The sequence below is a fragment of the Homo sapiens genome, chromosome 1 (genome assembly GCF_000001405.40).
Source record: "Homo sapiens chromosome 1, GRCh38.p14 Primary Assembly".
Classification (NCBI taxonomy): Eukaryota; Metazoa; Chordata; class Mammalia; order Primates; family Hominidae; genus Homo; species Homo sapiens.
This window is the reverse complement of record NC_000001.11, coordinates 2,273,223-2,295,279: the sequence shown is the minus strand read 5'-3', so window position 1 is coordinate 2,295,279 and position 22,057 is coordinate 2,273,223. Positions and strand designations below refer to the sequence as shown.

Here is a 22,057-nt window from a genome sequence, read left to right as displayed (position 1 = left end):
CCTGGGAGCCAGAGGGGCGCTCGGCTGGCATGGATGCTGCCATGACATGCAGGGGCAGCTCCTGGCGCAGGGCTGCCACACTGGCACACCTGCGTGGACACACAGGACACCAGGAAGGCTCCAGGTCTGAGTCTTTAGCAGCTGTTCAGGGTCAGGCAGCGCTCACCTGCCACAAAGCCCACAGTGCAACTTCACCTCTGGAAGCCTAGTTTTTCACCTTCTAAAGCCCATCAAGAACAGAAAGCTCCATCTGAGCCAGGGGCCTGACATCCACTTTAGGGAACATTCTGGTCCCTGTCACCAGGGGCATCCCACAGAGCCCTGCCACCACCCTGAGGTCAAGTCTCCTTTCCAGAGGGGCCCCACTGGGTGGGCGTGGCCTCCAACCCAGGCACAGGGGATGGCAGTAATGATAACGTGGAGGGTGGATCCTGCCCTGCTGTGGGAGTTGCCTGGCGCAGACCCCAGCCCAGGTGCCAGGAGACTGGCAGACGGGGGCCTGAGGGCCCTGGGAGAGCAGGTGGCTCTCGGGGAGACAAAAATGTGAGAAGCAGCTAGCGGGGGGAGGGCCAGGCCCCCAGAGGCCTCCCTGCCATGGGGACAAACATGCATAGCCATCCCTGGCAACCAGCACCTCCCACAACTTCTGGGCAAGACCAAGGGGCTGGCATCTACGTGGACCCACGTTCAGTGGAGGACGTGACAAGGTGGCCCTGGGCTTACCGGTTCCCCGAGACAGCTAACGGGCTCAAGGGAGGAGGAAACGGCACGACGTGGTCTTCTTCCTGCCAGAGAGGTCAGGTGGTCTCTGGGGCCTGCCCTGGTCCCCACATCCCCGCACGGGGGAGGCCAGCGGGAGTCGGGGCTCTGGATGGGGGCAGCCATTTGCTTGTTGAGGAGAGCAGCCACACACAGCCAGCCTGATGGTCACTGAGTGCCAATTTTGTGATTTTCATGCCATTTAGCAGATCACCAGATGAAACCTTTTCTAGAAATGTCGCCCTGCCCGGCATCAGGCCTGCCTTAGACCTCTCCATCCTGGCTGTGACTCACAGCAGCTGAATCCTGCGGAGCTATCAGGCTCAAACCCCATGGGCACCAGTGGGAGGGAGGCTCTGGAAGCCCCCGCTCAGGGGAAGAGGAAGCTGCCGCACCTATCACATCGGCTTCTCAGGACCACCCCGAGACCCTCGAACCTTCCTGCACGACATCCTTCCAATATCTGACATGAGATGAGCACCCCTCCATGTTCTGTGCACCTCAGAAAACATGGGGAGCCTCCGAGGCCACAGATGAAAGGAGAATGAAAAGCCCAGAGTGGCCCCCATCACATGACCATCCTGCTGCCTGGACCCCCATGGTGGCGCGGTGACCACCGCCTGCACTGGAAGGGACAACCCAGAACCCACGACAGATTCCGGGAACCTGCAGCCACAGGCCTGCTCACCTGGCACGGAGTTTCAAGGTGCCAGCTGAAGAAGCGGGGAAACGGGGGCTGGGACAGGTAGACGGTCCCAGAGGCCGGGCAGCAGCCACCAGACCCAGGGGCCTTGCACGGGGATCCCAGACAGAACACAACGCAGTGCCCAAGAACAGGGGCAGCGGAAACACGAGGACACGCAGCTTAAAGCAAGACACGGGGGAATGAGAAGGAGACATCCCAAACACCAGGGAGATACCAGATGCTCGAGCAGAACTTTCCAGAATAAAAACCGTTCAAAGAAATCATCCAAACGCAGTCCAGAGAAGAAGAGGGCACGATGGTGGGGACAGACACGCAGAAAAGGGGACGGCCAAATGTGCCTGGAAGGAGAGGGCGACGCAGGAGAACCTTCCAGATGTTGGGGGGGGGCCTCGCCCTGGCTTCTCATCTTCAGAGAAGCGACATCCGCAGGCCCCAACCCTCGGCTGGACCTTCCAGGCCCACGGGCAACACCACTCAGGGCCCGTGACTGCTCCCTGAGCACACAGGGCAGCCACCCAGGGCCACGCCGGTGGATCCCACCACGAACCTCAGGTCTAACATGGTGAGTCCCGATCGCCAACCAAAGCAACAGAACAAAAGCCCTGTGGTGGCCAGAACCCCGCTCCGCACAGTGGCCTGCCCCAACCCCCAGCTCACACTGGCCTGCCCCGCTCAGGCCCGAGCCCTACTGAGCCTCCGTCCTTGTGGGACTTCAGGTTCAGGTTTATTGACAAATTTGCCGGGTTCCTGCCAACCCCTGCTCTCCCGTGCACCCTGCCCAGGAGTGAAGCCCCACAGAACAGTGGCTGCTAGACAACAGCAGGCCCCACTCACCACCACCCAGAGACTGGAGGAAGTCCACGGGCCCAAATGGTGCCGACATCCTCGGCTGGGAGAGGGTGCCACTGAGACACGGCCTTTGGCTCAGCGGCCCCGCCAGGGACAGGCGTTGCTTCCTCCGAAGGGGACTCTGCACAAACTGTGCCTTCCTGCACCTTCAGGAGCCCCGCCGGCGTCAGAAGACCACCCCCACCTCCTCAAGGTTCCTAAAAGCCACAGGCCCTCACGTCCTCCCCAGCAGGGGCACAGGCAGAGGACACTGCCTGGTACCAGGCCTTCCTCTCTCCCTCCCTTAGGCAAGGGTCATGTCCACACACCCAGGTGGGCACCGCATCTGAAAAGGACCTGTGGGTGATGACCACAGCCCAGAGACAGCTGTGGCCAGGTACACACCCCTCCATCAGAGCTGCCCCCACACTGCTACGGCTCCCCAGGGGGTGTGGGCTACACAGCTAGGAAGGAGGAGCTCTCGAGGTGGGGTCTCCACCTGGCTGCAGTCAGTTCTGAGTGTGACCCCAGCCTGGCCCACAGCAGGTCCCTGATGAACGTCTGCTAGATGAAGGGTCACCCCACTGCTCAGTCCTTCATGGGGCACCCAGGGCAGCCCACTGCGGTCACCCTACCATGCAGCACAGCTCAGAGCTTCTACAGGCAAAGCCCCACCCCAAAGCCTGGACAAACTCCAAAAGCCCGAACCCCAAAAGCCCAAGGTGGGCTGTGCTCTCCTACGTGGCAACTCCCGTGCAGCCCTGAGCAGGGCAAGGAGGCGTGGGGACTCCTCTCCGGGGACTGGCAGAAGCTCGCGCTGAGGCACTCTAGAGACAAACCCTGCTGAGACCATCGCTGTCTCCTCCAGGTGCACCCCCAAATACCCTCACTCAAGAATCGGCTCACGTGAGCTATGGGCCTTCTCTGAAGATTTCACGGTTCAAGAAATTATAAAGCTATTTTTGTAAGTGCCATTAATATTTCACACATGATAATTCACTTTTCATATTGGGCTTAAATTAACCTATTTTCTGATTATTGTGGCACAGAGGAAACAGATTGAATCTGCAAGACAACCCCAAGCCCCAAAATGAAGTGAGAATACCAGCTTTAAAGGTTCACTCGGATTTTTCTTTCGCTTAAGTAGGTCATCTTTGCTGTTACTTTAGCGCTGTTGATGACAAAAAGCCAAATCTTTCTAAGGAAACTGAGTAGCAATTAGTAGCGCTCCCTCGGGGCCTTGGCACTGGCCCTCTTCCTCATGCCCCAGGGGGCCCCCCCACAATGCCAGAGCCAAGGGGCATCAAAACACAAAGACCCATCCATCCAGGGGGGAAGGTGCTGGAAGGAGGGTGGGGGCTGCAGAGACTGAGGGGGTGGGGGAGGGCCCAGCTTCTGTTCTGGTCCAGCTGCTGTCCCGGGGAGGGCTCCCTCTGCAGCCCCAACCTTGCTGGGGTTCTCCTGGGACCTCGGTCTGAGGCGTCCACCAGGGGCCAATGGCCAGGCAGTGCTGCCATGGGCTCCATGACGACCCTAGATGTGTGTGCTGACCCCGGGAAGTCTGGCCCCACTCTTCTCACCCTCCCCATCCAGCCTGAGCCCTGCACTCAGCCTCGAACCACAGACCCCAGATTTGAAACCAGCCTGATGACACTGGGGCCGACCACAAAGGAGTGGCCACACAGCCCTGCAAAACCTCACTTTCGGAATCCGAAAATTAGCCAGAGGTCCCCCAGGGGACACACTGGGGCGAATGTATCGTTCTTTTCCTCCGATGCTACTGAAGGTAAATGCTGAAATAGCTTAAAAGAATAAACAGACTCCCAAGAACAGCAAGCTGGCATGAGCATCCCCAGCGCCTGCATTCGCAGCTCGTCTGGGTCCCCTCGCTGCTTCAGTTCTGGGGTGAGGGTGAACGGGGTCTGCTCCCTCCCCGGACGCTCCTGCCAGCGACTGGCTGGTGGGAGGCGCGGCCCGTAATGGCCGCCTGGCTGCCTGCCACCCTCGCCAAAGATTGAGGGAGACAAACAGGCCTTTCCATCCAGAATGAGAGGAAACGCTGCAGAAAGAGAAAAATGCGGAACACAGAAGCGGCACAGGATGCTGCGGTCGCGGTTCTTGGAAGGCTGATTCACCAAGAATCGGACTCAATTAAGAGTGTTTCGTAAGAGCGGCAGGAGGGGGTGACAATGCGTCCTGCCATCCCCGGCTTTACAGGACGGCTCCGCAAGCCCAACCCTCACCCAAGCGCTAGCTGGGGCAGAAGGGGCCCTCAGACCAGTGAAGTATCTCAGCAGGTGCCCTCTTCCTCCTCCTCCTCCTGCCTACAAGACCTCAAACCACAGAAGGCATCGCTTGCCCCCAGCGCTGGCCCAGACACACGGCAGCGCACAGAAAACTCTGGGGGAGCCCCTGATGAGGTCAGAAGCTCTGACGACCCCAGCCCACCCGCCAACTGTTGTTCTGGGGCTGGTCTCTCTCCCCTGGTGTCTGGAAGCAAAGGCCCTGGGGCCTCATCTCAGATGCCCAGAAACACGTGCAGCACCAAACAGCCAGAGAGGTGCTCAGGCTGAGCAGTGCAGGGTGGCGGCTGTGTCCCCTCAGTTCCCAAGTGTCCCGCACAGAAGGCTGGCCTACCCCCAATCAGCTCACATCCACACTGCAGTCAAGAGTCCCCATCACAGCCACACCCTCACAGCTGCTCCCTGCCTGTGCCCTGGAGGCCCTCTCAAGAGGCTGAGAAGTAGCCTCTTCCCAGGAGCCCCGGGACTTGCCTGGGGCAAAGGCTCTGCCGGGGGCAGCCCAGGGCTGCCCTGCCTGATCTCTTAAGACCAAGGACTCCACCCCTTACAACCAACATCACCCTTGCCTTACCGACTCCCTCCCCACTCTAGGAACATCCCTGACCAACAGGGACCCCCGGCGCCACACAAGAGGGCAAGGGTCTCTGTGCTAGGGCACAAACAGCCATCCTAAGACCTTGAGGAAAGACTCCAAGGAGGGGGCTGTGGAGGTGGCATGTCCTGGAGCAACGTGGCCTGGAGGCGCCTCCTGCACCCCCTCTGTGGAGTGGCAAGCACCCCATGCTCACCCTGGCCAGGCCACCCCTTCCCTCTGCCCAGTCAGCCCAGCCAGGTGCTGCCCAGAGGGAGGCCAGGCCAGCCAGGCTCTTGGTGGAAGAGGACAACCCCTTCTCTGCTGTTTCCAAACCTCATCAGGGACGTCAACCCAGATGCTGCTGTGGGGCCAAACTGAGAGCTGTGGTCATCTCAAAAGGCTGGACAAGAAGCACACGGTGGGCTCGGGGGAGGGGAGAGCCGCTACAGCCAGCCCCGGGAGCACGACCTGTGCTGCACCCCCACCCCCACGATCTTGGTTCTCCTGCCCTGCCCTGCACCCCCCCACCCCCACGATCTTGGTTCTCCTGCCCTGCCCTGCACCCCCACCCCGATCTTGGTTCTCCTGCCCTGCCCTGCACCCCCCCACCCCCACGATCTTGGTTCTCCTGCCCTGCCCTGCGCGGGGCTCGGGGTTGGTGTAGCTCTGCAGTGCCACATTTGATCTTAGAGGAGGGGCCTCACAAAGTGGCCACGTGGTGACCAGCCCTCGAAGACTGGCTGGCAGGAGAGGTGGCCTGTAATGGGCATCTGGCCGCCTGCCACCCTCACCGAAGAGGGATGAAGACAAACAGCCATGGCCACTGAGACAGGTGTCAAGTCCTGACAGAGAGGAGGCAGGAGGGCCACCTCCGGGTCTCTGAGCTCCCTGCCTAGAGAGGCTCAACATAACAGAGGAGCTGCATCTCTAGCCTCTGCCTTCTGTGTGCTTTCTCACCAACCACTGCTCCTCGGGGAGGGGCAGCTGGGTCCTGAGGGCCTGAGCCACCAGGTCTCCTGCAGAACATGACCTTCCCCCAGCTCCACTTCCCGGGTGGGTGCAGCAAGCTGACCACACTGACAGCTCAGTGACAGGTGCATGCGATTCGGGAAAACCAGGCGGCACCGGGGACCTGCAGGAAGAGCGAGGCAGCTCCCGTCACCTGGAGGGGACCTGTCACCCAGCAGGCCCAAGGGTGGCTTCTGTGCACACCACTGCAGGCCTCACACACGTGGCGGGGGGAGGGGGTAGTTTTTGGAAGAGGGGATCAAAGGATGAAGACGAACTTGGTACCTGAGACAAGGTCCCCACCCCCACTATCACCAGCCTGAGGGCACTGCCATGACCCCAAAAATGCCAGCAGGCCAACAACAGCCCACCTCAGGCTAGTTTCATCCATGTGTGGAGGTGACCCACAGACAGCCACTGCCAGCTGACTCTGTGGCCAACCAAGGCCACTCAGGACAAGGGAAGGGAGCAGAGAACACATCCCACGACTCCCAGAGCAAAACCACCTGGGGGTCTCACGCGCATGCAAACAAATGTGCACGCACGAGCAAAGACAACTGTCTGCCTCTGAAAAGAGCCACTCCCACAGGAAACGACGACAACCAATCGTGTTCTCACTCCTAACCTCAAAATAAAACCGAATTCAGGGATCGGAACATGTACCTTTAAGTAAACAGCCCTGCTGGGCACAGTGGCTCATGCCTGTAATCTCAGCACTTTGGGAGACCAAGTCAGGTAGATCACCTGAGGTTAGGAGTTAGAGACCAGCCTGGCCCATGTGGAGAAACCCTGTCTCTACTAAAAATACAAAAATTAGCTGGGAATGGTGGTGCACACCTGTAATCCCAGCTATTTGGGAGGCTGAGGCGGGTGGATCACCTGAGGTCAGAAGTTCGAGACCAGCCTGGCCCATGTGGAGAAACCCCATCTCTACTAAATACAAAAATTAGCCAGGCGTGGTGGCACACGCCTGTGATCCCAGCTACTTGGGAGGCTGAGGCAGGAGAATCACTTGAACCCGGGAGGTGGAGGTTGGGGTGAGCCGAGATCGTGCCATTGCAGTCCAGCCTGGGCAACAAGAGTGAAACTCCGTCTCAAGGAAGAAAAAAAAAAAAGAAAGAAAAGAAAAAAGACAGACGAGAAACAGCCCTGAAAGCAGCCCTTGAGTGCCAGGCCAGGGCCAGGAGCGCCCAGGGCTCAAGGCGGGGCTCAGGGCTCGGGGTGGGGCCGGAGGGCGGTGCCATGCAGGAAGCTGGTCCATCGGGGACACACTGGAGACCCCAGAAAGGAGCCTGGGCTCATCCCCCAAGGTGAGGGGAGATCCCTGGGAATCCATCCATCTCACGGCTGCCACAAGCCCTGTCCTTCTAGGGGGAGACCACCCCCACGCCCCACACAGGGAAGGTGACGCATGCAAGACCCGTCCACACCCCCCCTGCGGCAGACCCTCGTAGCCCACCTTGAGACAGAGACCACCCCCACCCACAGGCAGAGCACACCTACCACCAACACTGCTATTTGGACTTGGATAAAACATTTGGACATTATCCATCCTGGCTAACACAGTGAAACCCCGTCTCTACTAAAAATACAAAAAATTAGCTGGGCGTGGTGGCGGGCACCTGTAGTCCCAGCTACTCGGGAGGCTGAGGCAGGAGAATGGCGTGAACCCGGGAGGCGGAGCTTGCAGTGAGCCGAGATCGCGCCACTGCCCTCCAGCCTGGGCGACAGAGCCAGACTCAGTCTCAAAAAAAAAAAAAAAATTGGATATTTCCATTTCTCACCAAATTGGAATTTTTCCTGTCCAAGGCCAACACTCTCTCATCTTTAAAATCTAAAGAAACGCATTCCCAAGTCGCCTCCACCTTCCCACACAAAATGGCAGTCTCCAGGCGCCCTGGAGCCCCGCACGGCCCAGGGTCCAGAGCACAGGTGCACCCTGGGCCAGGGCACCCCGGGCGGGAGGGTGCGCAGGGGCCCTCTAGATTTTCGCCCAGAGCTGGCTGCTGTGGGGCCTGCAGCTGGACACTCACGGCTGGACCACCGGGTCTGGGAAGAAAACGCCCTCCACTCGTTACTTTTCCATCCAGAGCTGGCTTTGTGGGCACGCAGCCATGTCCTGGGCTTAACGCTCTGTCCCCATCATTGGCATTCTGAACAGTTTCACCTTTGATAAGATGTTCTTTTATAAGCAAAGTTCTCCGTGACCACAGAGCATGCATGAGCAGAGGTGGCACACGCCACATGCAAGCCCACTGCCATTCCCAGCCCGTGTAAAGAGCGTCCAGTGGAGGAGGTCGCGTTGGTCCCACCCAGTCACTTTCTCCCACTAGCCCACGACCGGAGCCTTGGGAGGGAGGGAGACAGGCGCCCACAGCCCCCACACGCAGTCTGTCCTCACTCAGAGCGAGAGCTGCGTGGCCACATGGGTGAGTTAAGCGAACTCCAACAGCCAGGTTCATTTTGGGCAGCGTTTGCCCTGATGTGGTAAGAATAAAATGCACACGCACTTTAATTATTATATTTGGGGTTCAAATCAAGAACTGTGCAATTTTGATGATTCCACAAGTTAAACACTCTTACATTTGCATTTTATGATTTTTTAAAGAGACAAGGTCTCACTCTGTCACCCAGGCTGAGTGCGGTAGCATCATCATAGTTCACTGCAATCTCTGCCTCCCAGGCTGCTCAAGTGATCCTCCCCTCTCAGCCTCTAGAGTAGCTGGGCCTACAGGCACACTACCACACCCAGCTAATTTTTGTATTTTTGTAGAGATGGGGTTTCTCCATGTTGCCCAGGCTGGTCTCCTGGGCTCAAGTGATCTGCCCACCTTGTCCTTCCAAAGCACTGGAATGACAGGAGTGAGCCACTGCACCCGACCTGCATTTGCGTCTTAAACTGGCATTACACAAGGTAAAGATGAACAGTAGGCTGGGCGTGGTGGCCCATGCCTGTAATCCCAGCACTTTGGGAGGCCAAGGTGGGTGGACGACGAGGTCAGGAGTTCAAGACTAGCCTGGCCAATGTGGTGAAACCCCATCTCTACTAAAAATACAAAAATTAGCCGGGTGTGGCAGTGCGTGCCTGTAGTCCCAGCTACTCGGGAGGCTGAGGCAGGAGAATGGCGTGAACCGGGGAGGCAGAGCTTGCAGTGAGCCGAGATCGTGCCACTGTGCTCCAGCCTGGGCAACAGTGCGAGACTCCGTTTCAAAAAAAAAAAAAAAAAAAAACCTTCTGGCTGGTGCGGTGGCTCACGCCTGTAATCCCAGCACTTTAGGAGGTCCAGATGAGCAGATCATGTGAGGTCAGGTGTTCGAGACCATCCTGGCCAACATGGTAAAAACCCCCATCTCTGCTACAAATACAAAAATTGGCTGGGCATGGTGGCGGGCACCTGTAATCCCAGCTACTAGGGAGGCTGAGGCAGAGAACTGCCTGAACCCGGGAGGCGGAGGTTGTAGTGAGCTGAGATCACGCCACTGCACTCCAGCCTGGGTGACAGAGCAAGATTCCGTCTCAAAAAAAAAACAAAAACAACAAAACAAAACTTTCAAAGGAAGAGTTGTTTGTTTATTGTTTGTTTTTGAGACAGACTTTTGCTTTTGTCACCCAGGCTGGAGTGCAGTGGCACGATCTCAGCTCACTGCAACCTCCGCCTCCCAGGTTCAAGCAATTCTCCTGCCTCAGCCTCCCTAGTAGCTGGGATTACAGGCACCCGCCACCACGCTCAGCTAATTTTTTTGTATTTTCAGTAGAGATTGGGTTTCACCATGTTGGCCATGCTGGTCTTGAACTCCTGACCTCAGGTGATCCAGCCGCCTCGGCCTCCCAAAGTGCTGGGATTCCAGGTGTGAGCCACTGCGACCGGCCTGGAAGAATCTAAGTCCATTTGTTAACACCTTCCAAATGCATGTCAAAAAGGCAGCTGACGTCAGGGCAGATGGAAATTTACTAGACAGATGGGGACAAGTCCACACGGCCACACCAACTGCCGCATGACACCTATCTCCAACCCAGACTCTGACCCTGGCCACGACTGCCCCCAGCCTCCAGATACCCTGGTGGCCCAAACACGAAATCATAAAACTTTAGCAAGAACAAAAAGGCTTTTCTGTCCTGTTAATTTACAAAATAAAACCACTTATGAATTCTGATCATCAGAAAGGCCCGCATGGTGCACCTGTGCTGTGTGTGGCACCAAAACCACCTCCACACTGCACTGCGGAGCAGGGTCAGACCCTCAGTGAGAGCACCCACTCTCACTCTCCAGCCACCGGGGCCCCCAGCACAGGCCAAGGTGGGCCCCCGTGTCCACCTGTCATTCTTACAGCCACGCCGGCCATCCACCCCTCCCTGACTCTTCCCTGCCTGGAGCCCTCCCAGCCACCCAGGGGCCAGGGAGGGCTCATAGGCCGGTGTGGGGCGGGAGGGAGCCGCCGCAAGAGGCCCATGCAGTCACAGGAGGTCCACACGGACAGCGGGCCCTCTGGGCCGGTGTGAGCTTGAATTCTACCACCCCCACACCACTGGGGTGAGCCCACTGGGGAAGGGTCCCTGCCCCCCCAGGCACCTCAGCTGCATCTGCCCTGCTCCACAGAACAGGGACAAATCTCTTCCAGACAATCTCTACTTCACACGGAGCTGCCGTTGCCCAATTAGGTTTTAGGTTTCCATGAGATAACTGTTACAAAAGAGGTCTGAGGGCAGCTCCGCCTCTACTGTGCTGACCCAGGCCAGGTCACCTGAACCTCCAAGAGGCTCTTCTCAGGCCGCCTCGGGGTGGGAGAGGAGGGAACTCAACCCTACCAGGACGTCTCGGCAGCATGGGTCCAGGGATCAGGGATCTAGAGGCAGGGCAGCAACCTGAGGGAGCCCCGGCCAGTGGAACGGGGAGGACGCTGTGTTGGGGCCAGAGCCCCCCAGGGCCGGCCTCTGGGGCCTCTGATGCAGCTGTGACACCCAAGAGGGGAGGTCCATGTGGACAGGAGATGGACCCCAAGCCCCGGGCATTCATGGACGGGGGATGGCCCGGAGGACAGGGTCTCCATGAGTTGGGGAGGGTCTGGGTCTGGGGAGAAGATGGCACGGGCACTGCACCTGCTAACAGGGCACTAGCTGCGGGCAGACAGCAGCTCTGGAGGGAAACAAGCACCTCCCCGCCTCCTGCAGGAAGGGGACGCCACAGTGGCCCCCACCCGCCAGCGGGTCAGCTTTGCTGCCTCGGCCTCCCGCCTCCTCCAGCCCCAGCAGACGCCCACGATGTTTTCTCGCCATGAAAACCGACACAACATGGTGCCAGGCCTCAGTTCTAGTGGACGGGCCTCCCGTACCCTTGGGGCAGCTTCGAACCAGAGCAGTGCTGCCTGGACTTCCGGGCCATGGGCAGCAGGGCTGCACCCCAGCACCCCACATGCACTTGAGGGGCAGCTCCCTGAAGCCCCCTGGGCTGGATGGCCCCTCGTGGTACCCAAAGCCACAAGCCTGTCCTGAACATGGAGACACAGAGACCCCAAGCCAAGGCCCAGGCCTGCAGTACAACATCTGAGCAGGGGAAGCGGCCACCAAATCCACAGCGACAGCACGATGGCTTTGGTCCTGGCCCCGGCCCACATGGTTGCAGGAGAATCACAGGGCCCTCCCTAGAAAGCCAACACCTCTCCAAGACTCTGTCCTCAAAAGGCGATGCTTGCCACCTCCTCACCCCCATTTTCACAGAGACATACTCCTCAGGAGGCCCTGCCCTCCCCCCCCTGAGGCTCTGAGTCCTTGCCCTGTCAAAGGACCTGGACAGGCCCTGGGCCAGCAACAAGAGCTCCGTGCTGGGGAGACTGAGTGAGGCCTGGCGCAGAAGTGGGGAGAAGTGTTCAACTGTAAGCAGACAGCCTCACCCATAGGAGGGGCGCACCGGCACCCTCGGAACCCAGCCTGGGACCCAGCCTCCGCACAAAGCCTCTCAGGATCCCCGACAAAGGCGGTTGGGCCGGGTGGGGGCGCCTCCCTGGCCATGGCGTGGGGTCATTCCCACGGGATCCTCCCTAGTCAGCCAAGATGCCTGCGCCCCCACAGCCACAGGAGCTGCTGGCAGATGAGGGTCCGAGACTGGCTCCCGTCTCCCAGCACCGGCAAGGGAAGCGGGCCAGGTGCACACAGGACCCCAGCCTCCTCTTCAGTGTACACAGTGGCTCAGCTTAGGGCACAGGAGGAGCTCACTGAGGTCACTGGGCCCACACCGGGGTGACAGGTCGGAGGCTGAGAACCAGACCCACCCTTGCGAATGTCACTAGTAGCATGTGCTGGGCGCCAAGGACAGGACTGGCGCCCCCGAGAGCCGGTGTCCCTGGAAACCGCTCCTTGACGGGGAGCCCAGCCTCCTGACCTTTTCCTGGGTGGGGGTAAAGGGTGACCAGCAGCCCCTACCCAGGCCCTATCATGAGGGTGGAGGGCTGGGAGCCAGCGGGCTTGGGGGAAGCAAGGCTTTCCATGGGTTCGGAGGCCCTGCCCTGGTGCCACACAAGCCGAAATACTGCCCACCCGCCCACTATGGAACTCTGGGCTTTCTTTCTGAAGATCTCCGCCACTGCCTGTCTTCTCAGGCGTCCTCTCTCTGAAGATCTCCACCACCGCCTGTCTTCTCAGGCGTCCTCTCTCTGAAGATCTCCGCCACCGCCTGTCTTCTCGGGCATCCTCTCTCTGAAGATCTCCGCCACCGCCTGTCTTCTCGGGCGTCCTCTCTCTGAAGATCTCCGCCACCGCCTGTCTTCTCGGGCGTCCTCTCTCTGAAGATCTCCGCCACCGCCTGTCTTCTCAGGCGTCCTCTCTCTGAAGATCTCCGCCACCGCCTGTCTTCTCGGGCGTCCTCTCTCTGAAGATCTCCGCCACCGCCTGTCTTCTCAGGCGTCCTCTCTCTGAAGATCTCCGCCACCGCCTGTCTTCTCGGGCGTCCTCTCTCTGAAGATCTCCGCCACCGCCTGTCTTCTCGGGCATCTCTCTCTCTGAAGATCTCCGCCACCGCCTGTCTTCTCGGGCGTCCTCTCTCTGAAGATCTCCGCCACCGCCTGTCTTCTCGGGCGTCCTCTCTCTGAAGATCTCCGCCACCGCCTGTCTTCTCGGGCGTCCTCTCTCTGAAGATCTCCGCCACCGCCTGTCTTCTCAGGCGTCCTCTCTCTGAAGATCTCCGCCACCGCCTGTCCTCTCGGGCGTCCTCTCTCTGAAGATCTCCGCCACCGCCTGTCTTCTCGGGCGTCCTCTCTCTGAAGATCTCCACCACCGCCTGTCCTCTCGGGCGTCCTCTCTCTGAAGATCTCCGCCACCGCCTGTCTTCTCGGGCGTCCTCTCTCTGAAGATCTCCGCCACCGCCTGTCTTCTCGGGCGTCCTCTCTCTGAAGATCTCCACCACCGCCTGTCCTCTCGGGCGTCCTCTCTCTGAAGATCTCCGCCACCGCCTGTCTTCTCGGGCATCCTCTCTCTGAAGATCTCCGCCACCGCCTGTCTTCTCGGGCGTCCTCTCTCTGAAGATCTCCGCCACCGCCTGTCCTCTCGGGCGTCCTCTCTATGAAGATCTCCACCACCGCCTGTCCTCTCGGGCGTCCTCTCTCTGAAGATCTCCACCACCGCCTGTCCTCTCGGGCGTCCTCTCTCTGAAGATCTCCGCCACCGCCTGTCTTCTCGGGCATCCTCTCTCTGAAGATCTCCGCCACCGCCTGTCTTCTCGGGCGTCCTCTCTCTGAAGATCTCCGCCACCGCCTGTCTTCTCGGGCATCTCTCTCTCTGAAGATCTCCGCCACCGCCTGTCTTCTCGGGCGTCCTCTCTCTGAAGATCTCCGCCACCGCCTGTCTTCTCGGGCATCTCTCTCTCTGAAGATCTCCGCCACCGCCTGTCTTCTCGGGCGTCCTCTCTATGAAGATCTCCGCCACCGCCTGTCCTCTCGGGCGTCCTCTCTCTGAAGATCTCCGCCACCGCCTGTCTTCTCGGGCATCCTCTCTCTGAAGATCTCCGCCGCCGCCTGTCTTCTCGGGCGTCCGCTCTCTGAAGATCGCCGCCGCCGCCTGTCTTCTCGGGCGTCCTCTCTCTGAAGATCGCCGCCGCCGCCTGTCTTCTCGGGCGTCCTCTCTCTGAAGATCGCCGCCGCCGCCTGTCTTCTCGGGCGTCCTCTCTCTGAAGATCGCCGCCGCCGCCTGTCTTCTCGGGCGTCCTCTCTCTGAAGATCGCCGCCGCCGCCTGTCTTCTCGGGCGTCCTCTCTCTGAAGATCGCCGCCGCCGCCTGTCTTCTCGGGCGTCCTCTCTCTGAAGATCTCCGCCACCGCCTGTCTTCTCGGGCGTCCTCTCTCTGAAGATCTCCGCCACCGCCTGTCTTCTCGGGCATCTCTCTCTCTGAAGATCGCCGCCGCCGCCTGTCTTCTCGGGCGTCCTCTCTCTGAAGATCGCCGCCGCCGCCTGTCTTCTCGGGTGTCCTCTCTCTGAAGATCGCCGCCGCCGCCTGTCTTCTCGGGCATCTTCTCTCTGAAGATCGCCGCCGCCGCCTGTCTTCTCAGGTGTCTTCAGGTTTCTCTTTAAAAGGTGTGTGGCGGGTAAGGGAAGACTCCCAGAAGTGGCTCTTTCCAAGACCATTCCGGGGTATTTTAATGTCCGGTCACTGCACTTACAGCAGACCAGGCCTTCCCCAACGAGGGTAGAAGGGGCAGCCCCCTTGTGAGAAGGGGCTGTGGTCAGACTTTTTTTTTTTTTGAGACAGACGCTTGCTCTGTCACTCAGGCTGGAGTGCAGTGGTGCCATCTCAGCTCACTGCAACCTCCGCCTCCCGGGGTCAAGCGATTCTCCTGCCTCGCCCTCCCAAGTAGCTGGGGACTACAGGCACCTGCCACAATGCCGGCTAATTTTTGTATTTTTTTTTTTTTAGTAGATACGTGGTTTCACCATATCAGCCAGGCTAATCTTTAACTCCTGACCTCATTAGCCACCCGCCTCGGCCTCCCAAAAGTGCTGGGATTACAGGCATGAGCCACCACACCCAGCCCGTGGTCAGACCTTCCAGAGGGGGTTCAGGTGGAAGGCAGACTCAGAATTTTCGCGCACCCATGCCTCGCGCTTCTCCTGAATGGCTGAGGAGTGGAGGGCTGGGGGTGGGGCCCAATTTAACCCATGTTTTAACAAACCCTACTCTAAAACTGCCTGACATGTCACAAGGACCACCGCATCACAGGCCAGTTCCCCTCACTGGATGCCCACACTGGTGTAAACTTAGGAAGAGGCTGGGCACACTGGCTCACTGCTGTAATCCCAGTGCTTTGGAAGGCTGAGGTGGGAGAATCGCTTGAGGCCAATCACACGACTGCACTCCAGCCTGGGCGACAGAGTGAGACCCTGTCTCTAATAAAAAATAAAATAAGGAAGAAAGAACTGTTCTGTCTGTGGGGCTGGGCCACGCCCAGTGCCTGGGTGGGCAGGAGAACACTCTCCCCCCAAGCCGACTCCCCCCTTCAGCCCTCCCTCGTCTCACCCACTCTGCTCTCCCCTCCCCCCTCCCCCTGCAGCTGGAGCTGTTGTCAGAGGAGGGGAGGCATTTCCTGTGTCCCCCTCCCCCTAATTCCCCTACATTCCTGGCAAGCCCAGAGGAGGCCTGAGAGAACCAGAGAGGGATGGGCGGGAACAGGCGAGAGGCCGGGAGGGAAGCCAGGCCCCACCACACACACAAGACTTGGAGAGCAGGGCCAGGAAGGAAATGGGGGAAGGGATGAAGCGATGCCCCGAGAGGGGCTGGAAAGGACGCCCACCGTCATCAGAGGGTGGTCTCTGCTGGGCACGGCCACGCCCCTTCCACCCCTCAGCCTGCCTCCTCAGGGCGTCTAGCAGGCTGCTGTTCCGTAGGGGATGCAGAAGAAAGGCCAGAGGCAGTCCCGCTCAGAGATCAGGGCCATCCCCAAAGAACTGACTGCGCCCTGAGAGTCAGGCGCCCAATGGGGCGGTGGAGGGCCCAGCCCAGCAAGGCCCCTCCGGGACACCAGGAGACAGGAGGGCAGAGTCCAGGCGACCACCCAGCAGCCACCAAGCCCCCGAGCAGCTGGCCAGAGTGACGGCCACAGCCTGCCCTTGTCTGGAGCTTACTGTCTGGGGAGGGAGATGAAGGTGGCACTTCAACGCCAGGGTCCAGGAGGCGGCAGCATCCCAGCACCATGGGAAATTGGATGGGGGGGTGCGCAAGCACTCGGGCCCTAACCAAACCTTAGCCCCAACACCCCCCACCACCACCTGGCTCACAGGGCAGTGCTCACGGCCTGTGTGCACGTGTGCGCATGGGTGCTGCCTGCCCAGGGACTGCAAGAAGGGGGGTCTGCAGGCCACGGCATCCAGCCTGGGGCAGCCTCCAGCAGAAGGGGCCACTCCAGAGATCAGGTGGGGAGCTGGGCACCCACCTGAGTGGCATCAGTGACTTCCTAAAAAAAAAAAGGCCCCAGAGAGACCCCACCCTTCTCACCATGGGAAGACACAGGAGTTGGTGGGTCTGGGGAAGCCCTCACCACACAATGAATCTGCCGGGCTCTACCTTTAGCAATGGGCAGGACAGGCCTGCTGCGCTGAGGCCACGCACAGATGGGGAGGCACACCACGCAGCCTGTCCCTGACTGTGGAGGGTGAAGGGAGGGACAGACCCAAGGGACCTGGGTAGATTTCTCCAGCAAGAGTCGTCTCCAGATCACATTTAGGAATCTGCAGTTTCACCACTGCCCTGATACAGACTGCCGTCCTCCCCCAGGGCTCCTGCGTCTCACAGCAGGACAGTGAAGGTAAGGCCCAGCCAAGCCAGAGCTGGCTGCTGCCTCTAGGCAAGGCCTCCACACCCCACCCTTGCATCACTCGTGACTCTGCCCTGTTCAGACAGCCCTGCCCATGATGGGTGGGGCACAGAGACCAGTGGGAGCAGCACTTTGGGACCCAAGGCTGGGAGCAAGTGGGTCCAGGGGACACTGGGCTCCTAAGAACCATACTGTGGCCCCACCCCAAGTGCCTGCCTCCAGACTTGCTCACCCGAGGGCGAAGCAGGCACCCAGCAAGCCGAAGCCATCGGGAGTGGGTGCATGTGTGTGTGCCCATGGTACTGATGTGTGCATCCATGTATGCCCATGGGTGCTGATGTGTGCGTGCACGTGTCCACGGGTGCTGGTGCATGTGTGTACATCTGCCCGTGGGTCCTGACGAGTGCGTTGAGTGCAGGTGTGTGCGCCCACGGTGCTGATGTGTGTGTGCACGTATGTCCGTCGGTCCTGAGTGCGTGAGTGCAGGTGTGTGCGTGAGTGCAGGTGTGTGCGCTCACGGTGCTGACGTGTGTGCACGTGTGCCCATGGGTCCTGATGAATGTGTGAGTGCAGGTGTGTGCACCCACAGGACTGACGTGTGTGTGCACGTGTGCCCATGGGTCCTGATGAATGTGTGAGTGCAGGTGTGTGCGCCCACAGTGCTGACGTGTGTGTGCACTCCATTTTCACGCTGCTGAAGAAGATATACCCGAAACTGGGAACAAAAAGAGGTTTAATTGGACTTACAGTTCCACATGGCTGGGGAAGCCTCAGAATCATGGCGGGTGGTGAAAGGCACTTTTTACATGGCAGCGGCAAGAGAAAAAATGAGGAGGAAGCAAAAGCAGAAACCCCTAATAAACCTATCAGATCGCATGAGACTTACTCACTATCACGAGAATAGCACAGAAAAGACCAGCCCGATGATTCAATTGCCTCCCCTGGGTCCCTCCCACAACACATGGAAATTCTTGGAGATACAATTCAAGTTGAGATTTGGGTGGGGACACAGCCAAACCATATCACCGTCTCTACTAAAACTACAAAAATTAGCTGGGCATGGTAGCATGTGCCTGTAATCTCAGCTATTCAGGAGGCTGAGGCATGACAATCACTTGAACCTGGGAGGAGACAGGGTGAGACTCCATCTCCAAAGAAAAAAAGAAGTTTTAAGTTTGAAAGGTTTAAACAGCCTTTCTTTTTAAACAAACAACTGTTAGCACAGAGAGGAAAGACCCCTTCCTACAGCCCCAAATGAGAGGAATCCCAGCTCCATGGAAGCAACCGCTCCAGCACCCACAGCAGCCTCCTGGGTGAGGGCCCTGCTGTGTCGGAATCTCCCCAATGCCCCATCCCTGTGGGGAAGCAGCTCCAGTGCTCATCAACACCCAAAACAAACGCATCAGGGGTCAAAGGGACCCAGGAATTCCAGAACCAAAGAGAAAAACCTCAACAGAGGCGTTCCTGAACATGTCAGGAACGGAGCTATGAGCACGGGCTCTTCATCGGGGTTCCTAAGTTACGCAAAGACAGCAATCAGGAACTCAGCAATCAGGAGCCAGAGGATGGCCACATACTCACAGTGGAGGCCACTGTACCCCTCTTGGTGGAACACCCCAGGTTGGGGTGCACGGCCTAAAGCAGGCCTAGCGCTGTCCCCAGCCCCACACAGTGAGCCCTGCCATTTTCTGTTTACAAATAAAAAGCTTCATGTTTTCTCACCATCCATGCACAATTCTGTCTCTTGCTTATGGGATCTAAAACACTGCAGGAGGTGGCTCAGGGCCTCTAGAGGCACAGACAGGGGGCCCTACAGGCCCTCAGCCCTGGCTCCCCAATCCCAGGGCCACAGAAGCAGGTGGCCCAGGGGCCAGGAGAGCAGCAGACACGCATTTCCGGCTTGCTGAACTCCCTGGAGGGTCCAGGCCAGTCGGGGCAGCCCTTCCTTTGGAGATAAATATCAAACCTCAAGTAAACGGCCTCTGAGTGCAGCAGGTGAACTTCTGAGAGCTGGGTGGAGCCACCTGGGGTAGCCAGCCACAGCCTGCTGCGCTGTCCCTCCAAGTACAGATAAAGGCAGGTGGCGCTGCAGTGGGGGTCGGGGGGTGGGGAGCAGGACCACTTCTTTTTGGGAAATGTGGCTGCGTGAATGGGAGAGTCCACAGGCCCTGTGCTCAATCACAGTAAATGCCACTCCTCACGTCTTCTCCCTATCGGAGCAACCAGCCCTTGCTCAGTGTGAACCAAAGAAAAGAACAGCTTGAAAGAGCACAAGGAGATTGCTCAATTCTCAACAGCTCTGAGAGGCTGCCTGCCCCAGGACCAGCCTGATTTCCCTTCAGGAGTGTAGGGCCTGTAAGAATTCCTGCCCGGGCAGGGAGGGTGGGCAGTGACCAGGAGCCAAGGTGCACTGGTGGGGTGGAGGCAACGGGGCCTGCCAAGGACTCTCCCTCCCAAAGAGCCAGGGGCCAGGTCCAAGGCACATTTAAAGATAAACGCTGGCCAGTGCGGTGGCTCAGCCTGTAATCCCAGCACCTTGGGAGGCCGAGGTGGGTGGATCACAAGGTCAGGAGATCGAGAGCATCCTGGCTAACACGGTGAAACCCCGTCTCTACTAAAAATACAAAAAATTAGCCGAGTGTGATGGCACACGCCTGTAGTCCCAGCTACTTGGGAGGCTGAGGCAGGAGAATGGCGTGAACCCGGGAGCGGAGCTTGCAGTGAGCCGAGATCGCGCCACTGCACTCCAGCCTGGGCGACAGAGCGAGACTCCGTCTAAAAAAAAAACAGATAAACGTCTCTGGAAAAAGCAAACTCTCCCCACACCCCTCATCCTGCCCCAGGGCTCGGGGTCTCAGACGAAGGGCAAAGCTGCCCACACCGGCCAGGCCACACCCAGATCGCCTCAGAGCACCTAAAAAGCCCCCAGAGGCTGGGGCAGCCCCACTGCTCCCTGACGGCGGAGCCACAGGAAGCCTCCTCCCTGTGGGAACCTCGAACTCAGTGACTACAAGAAACAGAAAGGAGCCGCCGTGGCGCCTGAGCGGAGCCGTGGGCCGGCCACTGCTCTGACCTCTCAGGGGCCCGATGTTCCTTCCAAGACAGAATCAGACCAGGACCCCGCGAACACATCTCCACCGGGCCCCCAAGGCTGGCCACCATCTCTAGAAGCTCCTCTCATGGGGGCAGTAGCCCTTTCAGGGTGGGGGTTCCAGGGCGAGCTTGTTCAGCTGGAGAAACACCTGGTGCCACCCCCTGTGAGGCCGCTTCAGCTTGGGTGGGTGAGAGGTGCCCAGCCTCCACCTGCTGACACACACGGCCTGGGGATGCCTGGAAAGACCAGCACAGACAGCAAGGGACAGCGAAGGCCCCAAACAATTGGAGTGCCTGTGCCCACCCTCACAAGGGTCTTGTCCCCTCTGCTGAGAGCAAGAAGCCAGGAGGGGGCCGTGGCGGCCGGGAAAGTGACTGAAGATGACTGCAGCAAGGGGCAGCAGCCGGCCCTCCTCACTCCCACCCAGAAAGTGGGGTCCCTGCCCCCCATCACGGCTGCTATTCTCCTAGGGTCCAGGGCTGCAGCCACACTGTCCAGAGGCCCCTTCAAGTCCCATCAACCAACTGTCATGGCTCATGGCCAGGGGGCAGTATCTGCCCGCTATGAGGCTCCAGCCTAGAATCCCACTTCCAGAAACATGTTAGAGGGACGTGGCCAGGTGCCGCTGGGACTTCCTGCCATGGGGCAGGAGTGGACACCATCCAGGTGGCCCCTGGGGAGGACTGACCACCCACACAGCAGAGCACACGCGGCCACGACCAGGACACGGGCCCTCGGGTGGCTGGTGGAGCGAGCGAGAGGCAGCCCCACACCACCCTCGGCGCCCACGGGGAACTGCACCCCACGCAGCACAGCCGTCATGGGTGGTCGTGACCTGCAAACCCAGCATATGGGGGCCTGGCTGAAATGCAGAGAGAAGAACCGTGAGCCGGCAGCCCCAAGCCTGGGAAGGGCCAAGAACTTGCCGGAACCAAGTATTTGCAAAGACTGATGAAAAGTTTGTGTCTTTATTTAACCAATAAAAAGCCTGCCATGGGAAAGCAGGCAAAGCACATGAGCAGAGCTCCTCAAAGGGAAAAGGAGTCCAGCCTCGGAGCAAAACCAGTGCCATTGACAAAGCGCTACCTTCCTCAATCCCCCTTACCTGGAGGTGCCTGTGTGAGCGCTCACCCAACTACAGGTGTCACCTGACCCCGGGGCTGGGTCTGGACACGGCCCGTAGGACCTGCGCACACGCATGGGCGCTCAGCATGCCTCTGGGGCGACCAGGACACTGTTGTGGGGCTGCCATCCTGGCGCTGCCGGTCAGGGAGATGCCGTCACCTTCCAGCCAGGGCAGTGAGTGAGAGGGTGGTGGGCGGAGAGGCATCCCCACCACAACCACCCAAGAGCACGTCTGCCTGCACGGCCCATCCGCACCCGGTCCACAGAACAGACAGGAGGGCCACCGTGCTCCCAAGGCCCCCTGCAGCCTCAGCCCGAACGCTGCCCACGGGGCATCTTCGAGGTCCTGCACGAGCACACTTTGGTGCAATGCTGGGGGAGGCTGCAGTCACGGTCAGGCCTCCTGGCTGGGTCCACACTCTGGTCGCACACTCGTCACACTTCTCCGTGGATGTTCTTACCCCCCACCAGGTCAGCCACCCAACCTGCACCTCTGCCCTGGCTCACAAGGCTGGGGAGGACCGCCCCAGGCAGGGTCACGGGTGTCCCTGGCTCAAGCTCAGTAACAGAGGCAGGGCCAGGCCCTCCCGTTTCCATCACAGACAGAATGAGGCATGGCAGCCACCCCGTCCTGCCCTCCCCATGCCAAGCTGAGAAGTCCCATCTCAGCCCTGTGGCTCCCAGGACTGTGGGAGGAATGCCACCCTCTGACCAGGATAGGGACCCCACAGCTGCTGTCCTTCCACATACACTTCCGAGGGTCTCCGGCACTGGCGGGAAGGAGGAGTGGCCGGCCAGGACAGGGACCCCACAGCTGCTGTCTTTCCACACCCACTACCAAAGGTCTCCGGCGCCAGTGGGAAGGAGG

General features: G+C 59.4%; 1 protein-coding gene across 5 annotated transcripts in view, besides 10 other annotated features; it reads right to left on the bottom strand.

Annotated features, from left to right (window-relative positions):
• The window catches only part of SKI (SKI proto-oncogene), an 81,895-nt gene that overhangs the window by 14,934 nt on the left and 44,904 nt on the right, over window positions 1-22,057 (bottom strand). The window lies entirely within an intron of this gene.
• Window positions 745-1,245: an enhancer, noted in NCBI's record as "H3K4me1 hESC enhancer chr1:2225474-2225974 (GRCh37/hg19 assembly coordinates)". NCBI's record gives its function as "activates a minimal SCP1, AML or CMV promoter by ChIP-STARR-seq in primed H9 embryonic stem cells {active_cell/tissue: H9 hESC(primed)}" and the evidence as "EXISTENCE:reporter gene assay evidence [ECO:0000049][PMID:30033119]".
• Window positions 1,486-2,396: an enhancer, noted in NCBI's record as "H3K4me1 hESC enhancer chr1:2224323-2225233 (GRCh37/hg19 assembly coordinates)". NCBI's record gives its function as "activates a minimal SCP1, AML or CMV promoter by ChIP-STARR-seq in primed H9 embryonic stem cells {active_cell/tissue: H9 hESC(primed)}" and the evidence as "EXISTENCE:reporter gene assay evidence [ECO:0000049][PMID:30033119]".
• Window positions 3,768-3,817: an enhancer, noted in NCBI's record as "active region_52". NCBI's record gives its function as "activates an Ori minimal core promoter by ATAC-STARR-seq in GM12878 lymphoblastoid cells {active_cell/tissue: GM12878}" and the evidence as "EXISTENCE:reporter gene assay evidence [ECO:0000049][PMID:35858748]".
• Window positions 10,090-10,758: an enhancer, noted in NCBI's record as "H3K4me1 hESC enhancer chr1:2215961-2216629 (GRCh37/hg19 assembly coordinates)". NCBI's record gives its function as "activates a minimal SCP1, AML or CMV promoter by ChIP-STARR-seq in naive H9 embryonic stem cells {active_cell/tissue: H9 hESC(naive)}" and the evidence as "EXISTENCE:reporter gene assay evidence [ECO:0000049][PMID:30033119]".
• Window positions 11,429-12,098: an enhancer, noted in NCBI's record as "H3K27ac-H3K4me1 hESC enhancer chr1:2214621-2215290 (GRCh37/hg19 assembly coordinates)". NCBI's record gives its function as "activates a minimal SCP1, AML or CMV promoter by ChIP-STARR-seq in primed H9 embryonic stem cells {active_cell/tissue: H9 hESC(primed)}" and the evidence as "EXISTENCE:reporter gene assay evidence [ECO:0000049][PMID:30033119]".
• Window positions 13,797-14,996: an enhancer, noted in NCBI's record as "CDK7 strongly-dependent group 2 enhancer chr1:2211723-2212922 (GRCh37/hg19 assembly coordinates)". NCBI's record gives its function as "activates an origin of replication core promoter dependent on BRD2, BRD4, P300/CBP, MED14 and CDK7 cofactors, with strong dependence on CDK7, by STARR-seq in HCT116 cells {active_cell/tissue: HCT116}" and the evidence as "EXISTENCE:reporter gene assay evidence [ECO:0000049][PMID:35650434]".
• Window positions 15,449-16,243: an enhancer, noted in NCBI's record as "H3K27ac-H3K4me1 hESC enhancer chr1:2210476-2211270 (GRCh37/hg19 assembly coordinates)". NCBI's record gives its function as "activates a minimal SCP1, AML or CMV promoter by ChIP-STARR-seq in primed H9 embryonic stem cells {active_cell/tissue: H9 hESC(primed)}" and the evidence as "EXISTENCE:reporter gene assay evidence [ECO:0000049][PMID:30033119]".
• Window positions 16,244-17,038: an enhancer, noted in NCBI's record as "NANOG-H3K27ac-H3K4me1 hESC enhancer chr1:2209681-2210475 (GRCh37/hg19 assembly coordinates)". NCBI's record gives its function as "activates a minimal SCP1, AML or CMV promoter by ChIP-STARR-seq in primed H9 embryonic stem cells {active_cell/tissue: H9 hESC(primed)}" and the evidence as "EXISTENCE:reporter gene assay evidence [ECO:0000049][PMID:30033119]".
• Window positions 19,011-19,973: an enhancer, noted in NCBI's record as "H3K27ac-H3K4me1 hESC enhancer chr1:2206746-2207708 (GRCh37/hg19 assembly coordinates)". NCBI's record gives its function as "activates a minimal SCP1, AML or CMV promoter by ChIP-STARR-seq in primed H9 embryonic stem cells {active_cell/tissue: H9 hESC(primed)}" and the evidence as "EXISTENCE:reporter gene assay evidence [ECO:0000049][PMID:30033119]".
• Window positions 20,937-21,899: an enhancer, noted in NCBI's record as "H3K27ac-H3K4me1 hESC enhancer chr1:2204820-2205782 (GRCh37/hg19 assembly coordinates)". NCBI's record gives its function as "activates a minimal SCP1, AML or CMV promoter by ChIP-STARR-seq in naive H9 embryonic stem cells {active_cell/tissue: H9 hESC(naive)}" and the evidence as "EXISTENCE:reporter gene assay evidence [ECO:0000049][PMID:30033119]".